The sequence below is a fragment of the Homo sapiens genome, chromosome 20 (assembly GCF_000001405.40).
Source record: "Homo sapiens chromosome 20, GRCh38.p14 Primary Assembly".
NCBI lineage: Eukaryota > Metazoa > Chordata > Mammalia > Primates > Hominidae > Homo > Homo sapiens.
Window position 1 is genome coordinate 46,253,606 of NC_000020.11, and position 18,258 is coordinate 46,271,863.

Here is an 18,258-nt window from a genome sequence, read left to right on the forward strand (position 1 = left end):
CCAGGGATCCGGCTTTGATTCCCTGCATTATGACCTGGGCTGGTCGTAATGAGACTGGAGTTATGGGTGAGGAGGAGGTGCAGCTCCAAAGCCTTCATTTCCTGGAGCGTATGGCTTCCCTGCGTGCCCCATGGGAACTGTTCCCCCAACTCCAACAAGCAGCTCCAGGGCCCATCACAGCCCTGCAGGGATGCAGAGGAGGGGAGAGGCTGAAGGGAGAGAGAATTTGGAGGGAGGCTGCTGTCACTTCTGGAGAGGGCTGTGGAGGTCGATGGAGTGGCATGTCAAGGGGAGATCTGCCAGTGTTCACGGGCACCAAGCTGTTGCTCTCCTTCCCTCCTTTCCTTTATTTCTTTGTTTCTAACACCTTTGACAAGGATGGGAGGCAAGAGATCCATTCATTCAGTCACCAAACATGAGGGTCTGCTACAAGCAGGGAGACAGAACAGCGTTTTATCCTTTCACTCATTCATTTATTGAACATACGTTAACAATCGCTTTCTGTTTAAGACAGCAAGATGCAATCAGTTATTCAGCGATCTATCAGCAAAGAGATGCATTTCTTCTTGTTATTCCTTCACTCTTTCCACAAATGTTTACCAGCACCTCTCTTATGCCAGTCCATGTGCTGGGCACTGGGGACATAGCAATAAAAAAATGAAGTACTGGCCGAGTGAGGTGGCTTGTGCCTGTAATCCCAGCATTTTGGGAGGCCGAGGCAGGTGGATCACTTTAGGTCAGGAGTTCGAGACCAGCCAGGTAAACATAGTGAAACCCCATCTCTACTAAAAATACAAAAATTAGCCAGGCATGGTGGTGGGTGCCTGTAATCCCAGCTACTCAGGAGGCTCAGACAGGAAAATCACTTGAACCTGGGAGGTGGAGGTTGTAGTGAGCCAAGACCATGCCACTGCCCTCTAGCCTGGGTGACAAAGTGAAATTCCATCTCAAAAAAAAAAAAAAAAAAAAAATTGAAGTCCTGGCCCTCATGGAACTGACTTTCTGGTGGGGGACACAGATAATAGAGGAATTAATCTACAGTATAATTTCAGGGAGTGGTAAACATTGAGAAGAAAAGTAAAGAAGGACGAAGTGGAGGGAGAATGATGGAAGGAATGGAGTGAGTGCGTTGTTAAAGATATGGTATCAGGGAGGGAGGGCCTCTCAGAGGAGGTGGCATTGGGCTGAGTCTGGAAGGATGAGAAGGAGCTGTGCACAAAATAGTTCCACACAGAGGGAACAGCATGCAAAGGTCCAGAGGTTGGAATGAGCTGAGATGGCATTTGCAGCTAAAGTGCAGGATGCATCTGGACATGTGGAATTTGGGGTGTTGGGGAGGAGAAGGCACGCTTGTTGTAGAAGGGCTGTCCAAGGCAAAGGCCTGGAGTCAGATCCCAACTTTATATATTTTTAAAATTTTATTTATTTATTTTTGAGACGGAATTTCTTTCTGTCACCCAGGCTGGAGTGCAGTGGCGTGATTTCGGCTCCCTGCAACCTCCGCCTCCCCGGCTCAAGCAGTTCTCCTGCCTCAGCCTCCAAAGTAGCTGGGATTACAGGTGCATGTCACCACACCTGGCTAATTTTTTAATTTTTAGTACAGATGGGGTTTCACAGGCTGTTCTTGAACTCCTGACCTCAGGTGATCCACCCACCTCGGCCTCCCAAAGTGCTGGGATTACAGATGTGAGCCACCGTGCCTGGCCAAGATCCCCACTTTACAGAGGGGGAAAGTAGAGCCCAGGAGGACTCTACCAAGCATACATCATGACAAAGCAGTGCCTCAAACGTGGGACTTGGACTCCTCAGGCATAAGGCATCTTTGGGGAATGGGAAAAAATGCACCTCTAGGTGAATGCAACCCAGTGTCGGAGTCACAACTGGCAGGGCAAGCCTGCCCCGCCTTGTGAGGGCACAATCTGTACTACTGTTTGAGGGTGGAGCCCTGGCCCTCCCATCCTCACCTCTCCCTCCCCTTCCTGGCCCTTCATACCTCAGCCTACAGGTCCTCCCTCAGGCATCTTGGCTAGGTGCCCTGGCAGCCTGCCAACTCTTCACTGCTCTGCACAGCCCTGCTAGGGCTGCCACAGACATGTCGGCCTCCTCCCTCCCTTCCTCCCTTCTTCCTTTTCCTGCTCCAGCTGCTTTTCCTGAATGGATGGTGACTACAGAACCCTGTCCTGGCATTCAAAATTGGTCCAGGGAGGCAGCTGTGGAGTCCTGCAGCTGCATTCAGCTCTCCTGGGACCGCCTCCCATGAGACCTGGGGCACGTTGGTGGCCTTCCCTGGTCCTCAGGTCTCAGCCTACTGCACAGAGCTGTTTAATCCCAAATGGGATTAAAAACTGAGCCCAGGCCTGGCTCAATAAATGTTGGCTCTGCCCTGTCCACACTTCAGCCTCACCTCCTATAATCTGTCCGTCTGCCCATGGGCCTACATATATGCCTATGGCTTCTGTGTGCGTGCGAACATGTGTCTGCAGTCACATATGTGACTGAGTGTGCATGACGATCTGATATGCATTCCTTCATTTCACAAATATTTATGAGTTTCCACTCTGTGTTGTTCTAGGCACAGCAAAAAGAAACAGGTAGAGTCCTTGCCAGGTGGGGGCACAGACAATAAACAAATAACGTGTCAGACAATGGCAAGTGCAGTGGAGAGAGCAAAGCAGAGTAAGGGGCAGGAAGTTCTGGGGATGGCGGGATTTGCTGTTTATCCATCTATCATCGTTATTACAAATACTCATTTAAACAGGGTAGCCAGGGAAGGCCTTGTCATTAAGATGAGATTTAAACAGAGATCTGAAGTGAGGGACAGAGGGGTTGTGCACAAAGCTGGGAGAAGAGGGTTTCAAGCTGAGGCAACAGCAGGTGCAAAGTCCCTGAGGTCAGCAGCATGTGTCTAGTGGGAAGGAGGAACATCGGGGGTCTCGTGTTGCTGAAGTGGAGTGAGTGCAGGGGAAGCAGCAGCAGATGAGGTCAGAGAGTGTGGGGGTGGAGTCAGAGCCTACAGGCTCTCTTGGGATTTTTCTGTGAGTGAGATGAGACCCCTAAGAGGGTTTGAGCAGAAGAGTGACATGATCTGACTTATGTTTTAAAAGATCATTCCGGGCTGGGTGCAGTGGTTCATGCCTGTAATCTCAGCAGTTTGGGAGGCTGAGGCAGGAAGATTCCTTGAGGCCAGGGGTTCAAGAGCAGCCTGGGCAACATATCAAGATCCTGTCTCTACAAAAAACTATTTAAAAAAATTAGCCAGGAATGGTGGCATGTGCCTGTAGTCCCAGCTACTTGGGAGACTGAGGCAGAAGGATTGCTTGAGCCCAGGACTTCAAGGCTGCAGTGAGCTATGATCACACCATTAACACTCCAGTCTAGGTGACAGAGTGAGACCCTGTCTCTAAAAGAAAAAAAAAAAAAGGCCAGGCATGGTGGCTCATACCTGTAATCCTAGCACTTTGGGAGGCTGAGGCAGCTGGATCATTTGAGCCCAGGAGTTCAAGACCAGCCTGGGGAACATGGCAAAACCCTGTCTCTACAAAAAAATAGAAAAATTAGCTGGGTGTGCTGGCATGTGCCTGTAGTCCCAGCTACTCAGGAGTCTGAGGTGGAAAAGGATCACCTGAGCTTGGGGAGGTCGAGGCTGCAATGAGACATGATCACACCAGCCTGGGTGACAGTGAGGCCTTGTCTCAAGAAAAAAAAAAAAAATCATGCTGGCTATTGTGTTAAGATAGTCAGAAGCTGGGGTTGGGAGGAGCCTATGGCAATATTTCAATAATTCGGCAGAGGACTAGTCAGGGGCTTTGATCAAGGGGGAGCAGCGGAGATGCTGAAAAGTGAGGCTGGGCCACAGAATATGTTGATGGGTCAGAAATGGGGTTCAAGGGAAGACAGCAACTGAGTGTGACCATGCCCTCAGCCTGGGCAGCGGCAATGATGGCGTTTCCTTTCATTCAGAGCTGAAGACGGCAGGAAGAGCAGATTTGGGGGGTGATCAGGAACTGACCTTGATGTGTTACAATCAGTTTTTGGACAGGTTAAACCCCGAAAGCCTGTTAGGCATAAAGCAGAGATACGGAGCAGGCTCCTGTACCTATGGCTAGGAGTTCAGGGGTGAGGTCCTGCTGCAGGTAGCAATTTGGGAATTTGAGTGGCATGTAAAGCTGAGACTGGGTGAGAGCACCAGGGAGTGACTGTTGATGGAGAAGAGATCTGGGGACTAAATGCTGGGGGACCACAGCTACAGTGATCCAGGAGATGAGGAGGAAACAGCAAGAGACTGACAGAGAGAAGGGGAGGAAAAGGGAGATATCCTGGGAGCCAACAGAAGAAAGTGCTGTAGGGAGGGAGTGGTGAACTGTGCCGAATGCTGCCATTGAGGGGTAAGTGTCTGTCCAACTTTGCCTGGGACAGCTCCACGGCATAACTGTTAATAATGTTCCCCCAGTTTGGATGATAAATCATGTGATCCTACTGATAGGTCAGATGTGGACTTTGACTTGACCATTGGAGTTAGTGGGGCGGAGGTCATTAGTGACCTTGCTGGCAGTGACTTGGTGGAGTAGTGGGTGCACACACATGACTGGAACAGGTTCAAGAGAACTGGGAGGAGGGAAGGTGGGGACATGTGTGGGTGGGCGATGGTCCCTCTTGGGATTTGTGAAGGTTCATTTGCCTGTTGCCCCCACCCCCCAACCGCATCCCAGTAGAGATGGCTCAAGACTGAGGCTCAGGACACAAATCAGCATCCACACAATGCCACCAGGGCAGCTTCAGCTGTGTGGGGAGGGCCAGAAGAGCCTCCTTCTCCCTGCACCCCCTCCTCTACTCTTCCCATCTCTCCTGCCGCAGGGCCCGGCCAGACTCATCCCCATGTGCCCAGACTGTGACGGAGCCAACACCATTTGCCTGGGACCCCTGTGGGCCCTAAGCCCCCTAGCAGGACAGGTGAGTCTCTGTCCTTGCCCAGGCTCCTGTGACCTGGCAGATCCTTGCTGCTCCTGCCTAGGGCTGGGTTTCTCTAGTGGGTATGGGAAGAGGAGAGCAGCCCCAACCCTGGGTGTGCCCCCTGCCTCCCAGCTCCCCAGCAGCCTCGGGAAGAGTCCCATAGCTCCAGTTTCTGGCAGTCACCGAGCACCTGCTGTGCTCTGGGTCCTGTTGAGGCTCTGTCACTCTGTGGGACACACACAGGAGGCAGGCACGATGTGAGAAATATTCACAACTTGAGGCAGCATAGACACCAACCACACTGACTGCAGGGTCCCAGGGGCCAAGAAGAGGGGAGGTCCAGGAGATCCCTGTGGTAGGGGCTAGGGTGACAGGGTTGGGTGGTCTTCAGGGGGTTTGGGACAGCGGCTATTTACCAATAGCGATGAAGCATTTCCATACACATTACAGCCACACTACGTGTACTTGACTCTTCTCTGCCTTGGAAATAGGCCAGATGTGGTCCCTGTTCTTAAGGCAGTCACAGCCTAGGGTAGAGACATCCATTCCTTAATTCATTCCACAAACTCTTACAGAACATTCCCTAATGAGCCAGACAGACCGTTAGGTACTCTTGAGATGATGGAAACCTAAAGACATAATTCTCCCAAAGAGCTCACCATCTAGAGGGTGGCAACAGCCATTCAGCATTTACAGTGCACCTCACATGTACCATTTTCTCATTTATCCATTCAATGAACACTTATTGAACTACTAGGTACCAAGTTCTGTGCTGGGTCCCTGGCAAGTTTCACAAATAAGCCTTAACAGGTTTGTGGCCAAATTACCAGATTCTAATGAGAGAAATCCCTGGCAGTTGCTCATTTATCAGTGAACCAAAATCTAGTGAAGACCTACTATGTGCCACACCACCTGTAAGTGCTCTGCAAATTAAATGCACATGCTCGCAGATGAGCAGGAGAGACCAATATTTTTTAAACCCAAACAAAAAAATCCCACAACAAAAAATAAAACCTGGAAAATGGAAAGTGTAGGAAACTCATGCAAGATGTGAAGGCTCAGAGGAAGAGCTCCTATCTCCTTGAGTAACCATGGAGGGCTGCCTGGAGGAGGGGGGCATTGGAGCTGATCCTTGAAAGGTGAGGAGGATTTGAACACAGGGAGATGAAGTAGGAAATTACTGGAAGAACAAGCATGAGCAGAGGAAACCTAGGACATGAATGGGATACAGTGAATAGTGTAGTCTGGCTGGGTTTTATGGTGTATAAAAAGAGTGATGGTTGGCACCAAAGTTATCAAAAGAAAAAAGAACAAAAATGAAATGAGAAAAAAAAGAGTTATGGGAAATACAAAGGACATGGCTGGCTGCAAACAGCCAATTCATCCCCCATCCTTCTTTCTTGTTTCTATTTCATTTCAACATTTGCCTTCAGCTTGGCCATGTGCTCAGCCCCTCCTCTGTTAATAGTGACTAGTCTAAACCAATAGGAGCCAGACTCCTCTCCCTACCAGTAATTGATTTAGAAAGTATTATGTGACACAATTCTGGTCAGTGAAATATAAAAATATATCTTCTGTGAGCTTCTGGGAAATTTTTATTATTCTTAAAAAAGAGATGCCTTAAGGAGGACCTTTTTGTTTTCTGCATGTGGAAATAGGTGATGGCTGGTACAATAGCAGCCACTTTTGGTTGATGAAGGGAACAACACCAAGAGGCCAAAGAGGCCTACTAAGAAAAGACAGAACAATCTGTGTCCTTGGAGATGTTGTGGAACTACTGAATTAAGCCACTCTAGGTCTTGAATCCACTTCCAGCCTCTACTTCCTCCAGACTCTCTTTCTCTTTTCTCTGAACTCCCTCAGGCCTGTCTGGCTGGGTCTCCCTTTGGGGTTTGCTGTCAGCTGCATGGCAAACTTCCGAAGGACAAAGACCTCACCTACTCCTTCTTCCATCCCTTTCCCCGTTCCCACACACATACCTGGCAGAGCTAAGTACAGAACTGGGGCCTGGGAGGGACTCAGGAGAGGCTTGCTCCAGACAGACTTCAGAGGCTGGTTGGGTAATATGACCTTCCCTCTCACTGGGGAGTTGCCAGCTGTGGGCATCACTGCTGCTGCTTGCACTTCCGGAGTCTGGCTGGATGGCCAGCATGTCCTTTCTTGATTTCTCAATGCTCTGGCAACATCACTGCCAAGGCTGTATGACTGCCAGCTTGGTGGCTCCAGGCTCTCCCTTGTCATCTGGCTTTCCCCTGTCATCTGGCTTTCCGCCTATGGACAGGGGAAGGTATTCTTATCCTACCTGTCATGGGATTTCTGTCCTCTCACTCTGCCAAGACCAAGAAGTGGGGCTGCACAGAGCGACCCCCAGACAGAACAAAGTAGAACAGATTTTGTGGAGCTGCCTGGGGCTTCTGCACCCCTGCCTCCTCCCCCAAATTCCTGATAATCCTTTTAACATTCAGGGGACCTAAGACCATGAGATCCAAAGTCAGACCAGAGTTTGAGTTCCAGTTCCATTATTTTACTGTATGTATGACCTTGGTAATTTGCTTCCTTTCTCTGAGCCTCAGTTTTCTCATCTGAAAAATGGGGATAATAGTATTTACCTCCCAGGGCCAACATAAGGTGTAAATGAGATGAGGCATGTGAAGGAATCTGTGGTGTTTGGCAACAAATGTTAGTGAATGTCATCAGAATGACTAGTGTTGTTATTATTATTTCTGGTCCCTGGACAAATACTACTGGACCCTATTATGCACAAAGTATCCTGGCCAGGCGAGGAGAGTTTAGAGATCTTCATCCACTCAGCCATTTATTTATTCAGTCATGTATTTATTTAACAACTGTGCTAATCAGGCCTATAGTGCAGCCTGAGTCAAGAAGAGTGAAGAGTTGCACAGGGTATGGGAGTTGCCTCCTGCTCCAGCGCCAGACTCAGGCTAGGGGAAAGGGTAGTTCAGGAAGAGGCAGCTCATTCATCTGTTCATTCCTTTACTCACTCACTTCTCCCGGCACACCTGGCTTGTATGTGTCCTCTCTCCATGCTTGCCTGGCTTCCAGGGCTGCCAGTGGGAGCGGTGCCTGACAGTCTGGCTCCTGTCTGCCCCCACTGAGTCCCAGCGGCACTGTGCCTGCTGGATCCTGAGCCCAGAGCTCTCTGTGCTTGGCTGCCATCTTCTCCCTGGGGGAAAATTATTTCTACCAGCTCAGTGCTCTCCTTTTGGGCCAGAATAGCTCCCGGTGTAATGCAGGAGCTATTGAGGCATGGAGGGGTGCTGGGAAGAGCCACTTTGTCTCTGCTCACCTCTCATTGCCTCCTACCCCTAGGTATAAGGCACGATGGAGCCACAAATGAAGGAGGCAACCAGTTACTGCCTTAGCGTGCCTGCAACTCACATGAGCATGTGTGTGGCTGAACACATGCATGCATGTGCATCACTGATGTGTGCAGGGGTGGCATACACACGCACCACATCCCGGCACCAAGGACAGCTCCCTACACATACTAGGTGCTCAATAAGTGTGGAGCGAGAGACTAAATGGGTGTCTACTCTTCGTGTGCTGAGCCCAAGGGCTGTTTCTGGGGCCTGGGAGTGATGCACGTGTAGTGTTGGGACAGAGGGTGTTTGCATCTCTGAGTGTATTTGTGTGTGTGTGTGTTGAGGGGGTGGGGGGTGGTGGAGTGGGGGCAGGATATGCCAAAGCTTCTGGGCTTGGTAGCTGAACATCACCCAGGAAGGCAAAGGTGGAAGGTCAGGGGAGAGGGGATGATCAGAGCTGGGGTCTTATGTACCCCATATACACAGTCACCTCATCTGCAAAGGCTGACCTGGGGCCCCCAGTCTTGCCCCCCGCCCCAGGCTATATGTCGAACATGCTGCCGCACAGGTCTTCATGAAGCCTGGCTCAGTCTGGATGGTTTTCCTGTTCCAAACCTTCCTTGCTCCCTTTCCCCTTTAAGATAAAGCCCAGACTCAGGCCTAGCGTTCATTCATTACTGTTTAGAGTAACAAAAGGTTTTTCATGCTCAATAACTCCACACACAGCCTTTTGAGGTGAATACTGTTATTTGCCTCCATTTTTCAGATAAGGAAACTGAGACACAAAGAGTTTATGTGATGGGCCCAAGGTCACACAACTGATATGTTGTGGAGTCTGGATTTGAACTCTGATCTGCCAGCTCCAAAGCCTGCACCTTTAGCCACTACCCACGTGGCCCACTCAACGCCCTGCCTGATTGGGACCTGCCTACTCTCCATCTTGCCACTGCCTCTTTTCTTCCTGGGCAGATGGAACCACCTGCTGTTAATGACATTCATGCCTCTGGGCCTTTGCTCCTGCTCTTGCCTCTGCCAACAATGCCCTTCTCCCTTGCTGTCCCACGTCCAGCTCTGACTCAATGTTCAGCGCCCAGCCCCACTGCCCTTTCCTCCATGTGGTCTCTCAGCCTCCTCCCCTGACCCTGGAGAGCTCACACTTATCTGAGCCTGTGTCTCAGAACCAAGCTCTTCTTTGTCCTGGCCTCAGCATTCTGCCCACTGGCTGTGGGTGCTTCATTCTTGCTCTCTGTCCTTCAGCTCACACTTCAGTGCTGTGATCAGAGTTTGCACTACTGAATGTGTGAGTGAATCCATGAAGGGATATGTGGATGGATGGATGAATGGATGAACGGAAGGACACATGATGGGGTTGCCTGGTTACTGCTGTACCCCATCCCTCAGACTGCTCTTCTATGCTTGTTCCACTTATGGATTCATCAAATATTTATTGAGCACCTACTATGTGCCAGGCTAAGTATGCAGCAGTTAGAAAGTCAGACAAAGTCCCTGTCCCCATGGCCTTCCATTCTGTGTGTGTGTGTGTGTGTGTGCGTGTGTGTGCATGTGTGTGTGTGAAGCAGGGGAGATACATTTACTCATCCAACAACCTCACAAATAAATGCACAATTACCAACTGTGCCAAGGTCTGCAAAGAGAAAGTACAAGGAGCCCCCACATTTATAGGGGACACTACCTCATTAGGGATGGGTGGGGCAAGTTAGGGAACAGTTCCCTGAGAAGGGGTTTTTTAGCTGAAACCCAAAGGATGAGTGAGATGTACTGAGGCACAGGTGGCAGAATGTGCAGAGCCATATTTAGGGGACCGAAAGGCCAGGGGAAGAGCAGAGTGTGAGGGGAGAAGCTAGGGAAACAGCTGAGGACGGGCCTGGAGGAGTTGAGATTTTGACTCAACCAGAAGGCACTGAAGAGCTTTTGGCGGAGGAGATGTGTTCAAGGTTGTGTCTTAAAAGAGGTCACTGTGCTTGTTGCTGGAAGAACAACTGTGGATGTACAAGGCTGGAACTGGGGACCCGTGAGAAGGTGGTGGCAGCATCTGAGGAAGAGGGTGGTGGTGGCTCGGACCAGGGAGGCTGGCGTGGGATGGAGAAAAGGTAACAGATTTGGAATATTTAGGAAGCAAAATGGATCAGAGTTGGTGATGAATCAGATGTAGCGGACGAGGGAGGGAGAGACATCAAGAGTGACTCCCCGGATTTTATTTTTGTTTTAGCTGACGTTTTTTGATCACCTACTAAGAGCCAGGCACTGTTCTAGCACTTTATGTGCATTAGCTTATTTATTCCTCACAATAACCCCATAAAGTAAGTTATCATTATCCCCTTCACAATCTCACTTCACTCCAATGAGAAGGCTAGGCAAAGGGACACAGTGGAATGTGTCCCAAGCTTTGTTCCTTTGGGGAACAACCTTGGCAGATCACAGGCACAGGGAAGGAAGAAAGAGAGGCCAGTTGCATACCTTGAGCTGATTCTGAGTCAGTGAGAATAATGATAGATAACATTTATAGCGCTTTTACTATGTGCCAGGCATGGTGCCATCCAATTAGCTAATAATAAGAGGTAACACTGAGTTCCATGCAGGGCACTTTATATCAATGATCTGATTGAATCCTCACAATAGCTGTCTTTAAAATTTCTATTACAGAATCAGGAACAGTGGCTCAGAGAGGTTGAGGGACTTGCCCAAGGTCACACAGCTAGTTAGTGGAGGATCTGGAATTCAAACAGGCTCTGGCAGTGGGAGGGAAATGAGGATGGGCCGGGAGGTGCTCAGTGGCTGCTGGAAAGGACAGGCCTGCGTTTGGCTCTCAGCATGAACCATGTCCTTCCCCCACGCTACTTGACGTGACTTAACCCAGGCCTGAGTCCCTCCTTAAGGCCTGACCTCCCGTGCAAATTATGAACATGTATGAGTATGCACACACACACACACACCATGCACACACACACACCGTGCACACACACACACCGTGCGCACACACACACACCGTGCGCGCACACACACCGTGCGCACACACACATACCGTGTACACATGCAGACTCCTTGGCTAGCACTGCTCACCTGCCCAGGGGCAACCTGTTAGAACCCTCCACCTCAGGTGCCCCTGGCCTGCACCTGTCTCCCTGCCCTGCCCCCACCCTGCCCGTGTGCCGGTGCCACCGGCAGAGCCGTGCTGTACATCATGTTGACAGTAGAAATTACATCCCGAGCTGCTGTTTTACACCGCGCCCTGTCAGAACTCACTGCAGCCCAGTGATCAGGACAAATTGAATACCATCCTGGCCGTGTCAATATTTATTCCATTTTACAAACGCGTCCGGATGGGGGCAGGGCCCTGCCATGGTGCCAGCCAAGCAGAGTCCCAGGAGGCCCTTCTCCCTCCAAACCGCCTCCTCCTTGCTCTTTTCCCCTCTTCCTCCTCCTCTTTCTCTACTTTTCATAATTAATTAAAATTGTACAATTCAGCCTTGATAATGAAAGCTGCACAAATCATACATGCATAGTTTAACGAAAAGTCATAAAATGAACCCATGAATCCACACTTTGAGCAAAATACTGAAAATAGCCCCCTCCTCAGAAGCTCCTACTGTGTGTCCCATTCTTGAACATAACCCATTGGTTCCTTCTGTCCTGGCTTTTATGACTAGTTCCTTGCATTTCCTTATTGTTTGTCTCCCAACTATGCATTTCTGACCATCTTAGTTTAGTCTTGCTTGTTTTTGAGCTTGTATATCATACTGAATGGTCTTTTGCATCTTGCTTCTTTTTCTCAGCATTATGTTTGTGAGATTCGTCTTTGTTCTTGCATGTGTTCCTTTTCACTGCTGCATAGTACTCCATTGCATGAATATACCGTGACTTAGAAATCCATTCATCCATTCTCCTTTTTCTTCTTCTTTCCCCTTTTCTCCCACTTTTCCTTCCCTTCCACCTTCTTCTCTTCTTCTTCCTACTTCTCTTCCTGTTCCACCTCCTGGTTGCCTGCCCCCTGTTGTTCTATTGTTTTGTCTGCTACATCTGGGAGCTGTGCACACATTCACACAGATACACACACACACACACACACACACACATTGATCCCAGCTCCTCCATCCTACTGAACTACTGGGGGCCCAGATGCCCCCTCTGGGTCTCTCTCTCTCTCTCTCCCTACCCAGATTTTGGGTATGTGGCTCCAGCCAGAGGGAGGCTCTCTGTGGACCTGAGTCTATTAAAGTTTATCTGTTTTAGAGGATTCCTGGGGCAGAGACTGGGGGAATGGTACAGCAGGGTCCTTTGTCCTCACACATCCTGTCTCTACTGTAGCAGCCTTGGGGAGAAGGCCTCTCTTCCCACTCTCACCTACTCTGGGCTGGGGTGGGAACTGAGGTGGCCCCAGGTGGCCTTATGGCTGTCCGTAGGATGCACAGCTGTGCAGGGAGAGAGGACTGGGACCTGGGTCATTCAGGGGCCAAGCCTCAGCCTCAGCTCTGCTCATTGAAGGTCTTGTGGAGCACCCGTCCTGTGCCTAGCATTGTGTCTCACCAAGGCAGAGAAGGACCTGCAGGCTGGTGTGTGTCTGGGGCCTCCTAGGAGCCATTACAGAGCAGGTTTGGAGACCCCAGGAGCATGTGTGACACATTTCATTCCAGTCTCCCTTAGCCCCTTCTCTGTCTTGGAGCTGCTTTGATGATGCACATATTCGGGATAGTTAATTTTTATTGTAACCTGAGCAGATGACATTAAAGAATCTGTCCCTTTGTGGTACGGGAGAAAGCTCTCTAGGCTGGACGGCAAGTGGAGTAGGTTGGAGCTTGGCTTTGATCCCATAACACTGGGTGACCTTGGGCAAGTCCCTGCCCTGGACTTCTATACAATGGAAGGTCAAACTGCAGTTCTCAGGGCTCATCAGAGGACAGGGTCATGCCGGTGTATAGCAAGGTGAGGCTTGTTCAAAATCTCATTGCCAGGCCTCTGGAGCCCCAGATTCAGTAAGGATGATAATAGTACTAACAGGAAGGTCTATAGGGTGCTTTTTTTTTTTTTTGCCTTTTTCCACATGTTCTAATAGGGTGCTTTCTATGTGCCAGAGACTGTGCCTTTGATGAGCAAAAAGAAGAGGCTGTACTTTTTGACCACTCTGCTAAGCACACTCCATAGGTTATCTTGCTTCATCTGTGCCACATCTGTTTTATTATAATTGTTATATTACAGATAAAGAAACTGGAGCACCGAGAGGTGAAGTCACTTGTCCAAGATTACAGCCAGGAAGTGGGAGAAGCCAGGACTTGAACTAGGAAAGTCTGGTGCCAGAGCCTGTCCTCAGTCTGGGATAGCTTCTAGCAGATTCTGATGTTGGCCTGAGAGCCTCTGGAGCAGGTGGTCCACAAGTTGTGGAACAGAGATCAAGCATGGTACACTAACTGTGTGCCCAGCCCCGAGCCAACTGCTACATGTTTTCACAGTGATTCAACAAGGTATGTGTGAAGGGCTCATTCCCACACACAACCAGTGTGAGCTCTTATTGCTCTTATTTTAGGCAATTGTCACACCATCCTCCTGAGATGGGCTTTAGTCTCTCCAGTTACCAATGAACAAAGAAAAGTGTCAAGAAGAGAGGTGGCTTGCTGAGAACCACATGGCTAGGGGCCAACTCCAAAGCAGTGAGCTTCCGCCCCAGCATACTCTGCTTCCATTCCCTGACTCAGCTCTGCAGCTGAATGGCGTCTCCCAACTCTCCCAACCTCAGTCTTTCCATCTGTGAAATGGAGGAGTTGGACTATTGGGCTGGGAGCCCCTGACACCATGTGTGACCTTGCATGATTTTCTTCCCTTCCTGCACCTCAGTCTTTCCATCTGTAAAAGAAGTTGCCAGTATCCTACTCCAATGCTACTTATAAACGCTGCTTTAAAACAAAACTCCTGGTGAGGGAAGGCCCTAAGTCCAGCTCCCTGGAAACAGGCCTTGAGCCAGAGCTTTGCCTGCGGGAGGTTCACTGGGGGAGAGTTCTCAGGAACACCGTGGCAGGGGTGAGGGAAGCAGGACCACGTGGAGGGAGAAGTTGAACTGTGAAGCTCTCTCAGCAGGGGCCTCAGCTGCTCCCACAGGGAACTCTGGAGCTGGGATGCTCCAAATCGAGCAAGGGGCCAGGCCTTTGAATCCATGTATCTACCAGATATTGGACATGGGTTTCTGTCCCCTCACCCGCCTAAAGGCATGACGTGGGGTGAGGCAGCTGACTTTGGCTGAGGGCTGTCAGCAGCTACAGGGTCAAAACCGTCCTGGGTGGTATGATCCATCACATAAAACCTGCTAAAAACTCGGGCCGACCTCAGCCCTGGAAACAATAGCAGGCAAGACGTGGCCTGAGCCTGGGCTTATCCAGCTGGGCCTGGCCCCGCTCCGAGGGTCTGTCGCTTGCTGTGATCACAGCAGGATCAGTGCCCCAGATCTTGCTTAAAGCCTGGCGGCCACCGCCTGCCTCGCAGCTCATCTCCCGCAGCTCCCCGAGGTCCCAGCGATTATGCCACTGAAAATTCCGCTTTCATCTTGTCAACCTCGCAGTAAATTACAGGCCTGGGGAGGCGTGGGCCTCCTCCTTAAACAAGATTCAATTCCACTTAGCTGCCCCCATTCCCACCCCACACACGGGTTCCCTCCCTCCCACCACCCCGGGCTCGGGATTTATGGCCTCTCTTTGCAGGCAGCTGGTAACCATGGCAAGCTCCTTAGGGAGGCTTCAGGCTGGAGCCTCCTTAGCCCCAGACTCCAGCACGGCCGGCCGCTTTCTCCTAGGATGGGAGAGGGGAGAGGCCAGAGATGGCAGGAATGGGCTTCAGGGGCCAAGGCCGAGAGGTCATAGTAACCCCAGCAATCATGAGAACTTCAACACTACCACATCTGACCCTCACAATAACCATCATTTCCCCCATTATATAGATGGGCAAACTGGGGCCAGGGAGCATGAGGTCACTGCCAAGGTCACAACCAAGGAAGCAGTTGACTCTGGGGCTGAGGTGTTTAAGCACTCTGGCATACTCCTTCTTTCCCCAGCTGCTGCTTTTGGATGTTCAAATCTCTCTTAGATCTCAGCCCCTGCTTACATTCCCCTAGTGATGGGGAAATCACTCCTCTCTGGCAGGCCTGTTATCTCTCTAACGATTAGACATAGTTGCCAAATAATTGATCAGGCCCTGTGACCCCTCAGAAGGGTTATTTTGACACTGACTGCCCTCTGTGATCTGGCTGCTAACTCTCTTCTGCAAACTGATCTTTCATGGTTTGCCACCACAGCAGGCTGCCTGGGGTCTCCTTGCTGCTCAGTGTCCCGCTCTGCCCCAGGTCTTTCTTATTCATTCCCATCCTGCTCCAATTACCAGCCCTGTCTCCATTCCTATCACAGAATATCAAAGCTGGAAATCCATGACTCCTCATTTTCCTGATGGAGAGAGGCCCAGAGAGGGGATGCACTTCTCTAGTGCACAGGGTGAATTGACAGTGTGGGTCCCAAATCTTCCGCCAATAAAATAATAAATAGTACTGAGCATAGCTAACTTTTGTCAAGTGCTTGATAACCACCATTCTAAGCATTCACGAATGTAATCCATTTACTTCTCACATAACCCTATGAGGCAGATCCTATTTCTATTGCCATGTTGCCATGGAGACAAAGTGCAGAGAAGTGACTTGTCCAAGATCACACAGGCAGTCTGACGTCAGAGCCATGCTCCGAACCAGGGGCTCCCCACACCGTGCACCCTCTCTCCATTCCACGTGGCCCGTTGTGGGTGGTTGAGCAGACAGAGGATGCCAAGAGGAGCCAGCCTGCCAGGGACAAGTAAGGGCACCTGCTCTGCCAGGGAAACTGGCCTGTTGCTTTCATTCTTGGGCTGGGGGCCTGAGGTCAGCATTCTCCCTGCCCCAAGCCTACCCCCTGCGGATTTCCCCATCCACCTCCTCAGGGACTTCCAGCCTTGTGACTTCTTCCTACTGGACTGCAACCCTGGACCTCTGGAGGCAGGGGCTGAGGTCTGATTCATCTCCAAACCCCAGAGCCTCACCCAGGAACCAGTATGTAGTAGGTGCTCAAAAAAGACTTGTTTTTATCCAAGGGAGTCAGGTAGGCTTGCTGCAGCAGGAGACATTTGAACTGATCCTTGAAGGATAAGTAGGGGTTCGCCATATAGAGCAAAGGGGAAAGGAATTCCAGGCAGAGGGAAGAAGCTGAGCAAAGTCTTGGAGGAAGGGCTATTCAGAGAGCCTAGGGGAAGAAAGTAGAAAGGGAAGGCATAGCCAGCCCGAGCACCTTGCTACAGGGCTGGGTCTTAACTTGGAGATAGGAGCACTCATTCTGACCTGATGGTGCTGGGAACAGATGGGGAAGGAGAGAGGGAGAGAATATTTCTCACAGGTCCTACATCCCCAGGTAGGGCCTGCTGGGGCTGCAGGCTGCAGTGCAGTTTGGCCAAATCACTCACCCCAGACTGTGAGCAGGGCCCCATCTGGGGTGACAGATAGGCAGCACTGAGCCAGGCCTGAGGGGGCTTTTACTTTATCCCCTCTCCTGACAAGCGATAGAGCTGGCAGATAAGGCATCTTCTTCCTTAATCTCCGGTCTCGGGCTGGAACAAGAAAGGGGGGCGAGACTGGCACCTTGTTCAAGCCTGAATCCTCTTCTTCCTGAGTTTAAAGCTATGGATTCTAGTCATGGATTCTTCATGGGAATCCTTTCTCCAGGAGGCACTGCAGGTGTTGAAGGAAATGGAGTTCCCATACAGGGTTATACTCCAGGGGCTCTGTGCAGGGGTGGTGAGACCCTAAGTCTGTGTTCATCTTTACCCCATGGATGGAACAGTCTGGAACTCCAAGGAGAAGTCCAGGCTGGGAGATATAAATCTGCAATTCATCATGTAGATGATATTTAATGCTGATGATATTTAAGGCAGGAGCTGGGTTGACTTGGCAGTGGAACCTGGGCTGGACTTCCAGCTTTGTTGCTACCAAATGTGTGACCTCAGGCAGGCCACCTCATCTCTCTGAGCCTCAGTGCCCTGTTCTGTGAAACAGGGAACAGGAATCCCAGGTTCGTTGTGAAGCTTGAATAGTTGATGAATATAAAAGTAATCCTCTGGAAAGAGTCAAGTGCTGTAACCAAGTGAGGTTTGATTATTATTCCCCACAGGCAAGAGTGGAGCAGTCATGAGAGTGGAAGATAATGAATAGCAGCTGCTGTTTGTGGAGGCTGTACCACCTGCTGGGACCACCCTGGGCTGAGCCCATTGTAAACATCCATTTATCAAAGCCCCATCACAGCCCTCCAAGGTAGGCACTGTTATTATCCCATTTTATAGATGAGGAAACACATCCATGTCCATCCTCTATTCTTCCTCTTTGCAACAGAGGAAATGGCCCTCCTCTTTTCTGAGCCTATGCACACCTTCCTGGAATCTGAGAAAGCTTATACTATGGATTCTCCCTTCTCCTGCCTTATTACCTTCAGCCCTCTCTAAGAGGTTTGTAGGCATCAGCATTTAAACGTGCTCAAGTAGATTCCATCTTTAAAAAACAAAACCAAGCACATACCTCCCTATACTCCCCAACCCCTTCCCTTAATAGCAAAACCTCTCAGAAAACTGCCTGATCATACTCACTATCTCCTTTACTCACCTCCTACTCTTCTCAGCCCACTGCCATCTGGCTTCTACTCCCAACATGCACCGAGATGGCTTACTAAGGTCACCTTGACTGCCATGTTGCTAAATCAAATGGATGTTCTCCAGTCTCTATTTTACTTGGCTCTCAGCAGCATTTAGAATATAAAACTAAAGAACTGTGTTCCCTACTACCTCTCTAATAATGCCTTCTGTAAATCCTTTGCAGGTGTGTCCTTCTCTAACCCACCTGCAGACTCCTCACTCTTTCCCTGGGCAATCTCATCCATGCTGATGGTTTCCATTACCATCAATACTATAATGACTCCCAAGC

The 18,258-nt window shown here is 50.1% G+C and overlaps 1 protein-coding gene across 5 annotated transcripts in view, besides 1 other annotated feature; it reads right to left on the reverse strand.

Annotated features, from left to right (window-relative positions):
• The window catches only part of CDH22 (cadherin 22), a 134,760-nt gene that overhangs the window by 79,867 nt on the left and 36,635 nt on the right, over positions 1–18,258 (reverse strand). The gene's annotated exons all lie outside the window — the stretch shown is intronic.
• Positions 4,492–4,992: an enhancer, noted in NCBI's record as "H3K4me1 hESC enhancer chr20:44886736-44887236 (GRCh37/hg19 assembly coordinates)". NCBI's record gives its function as "activates a minimal SCP1, AML or CMV promoter by ChIP-STARR-seq in primed H9 embryonic stem cells {active_cell/tissue: H9 hESC(primed)}" and the evidence as "EXISTENCE:reporter gene assay evidence [ECO:0000049][PMID:30033119]".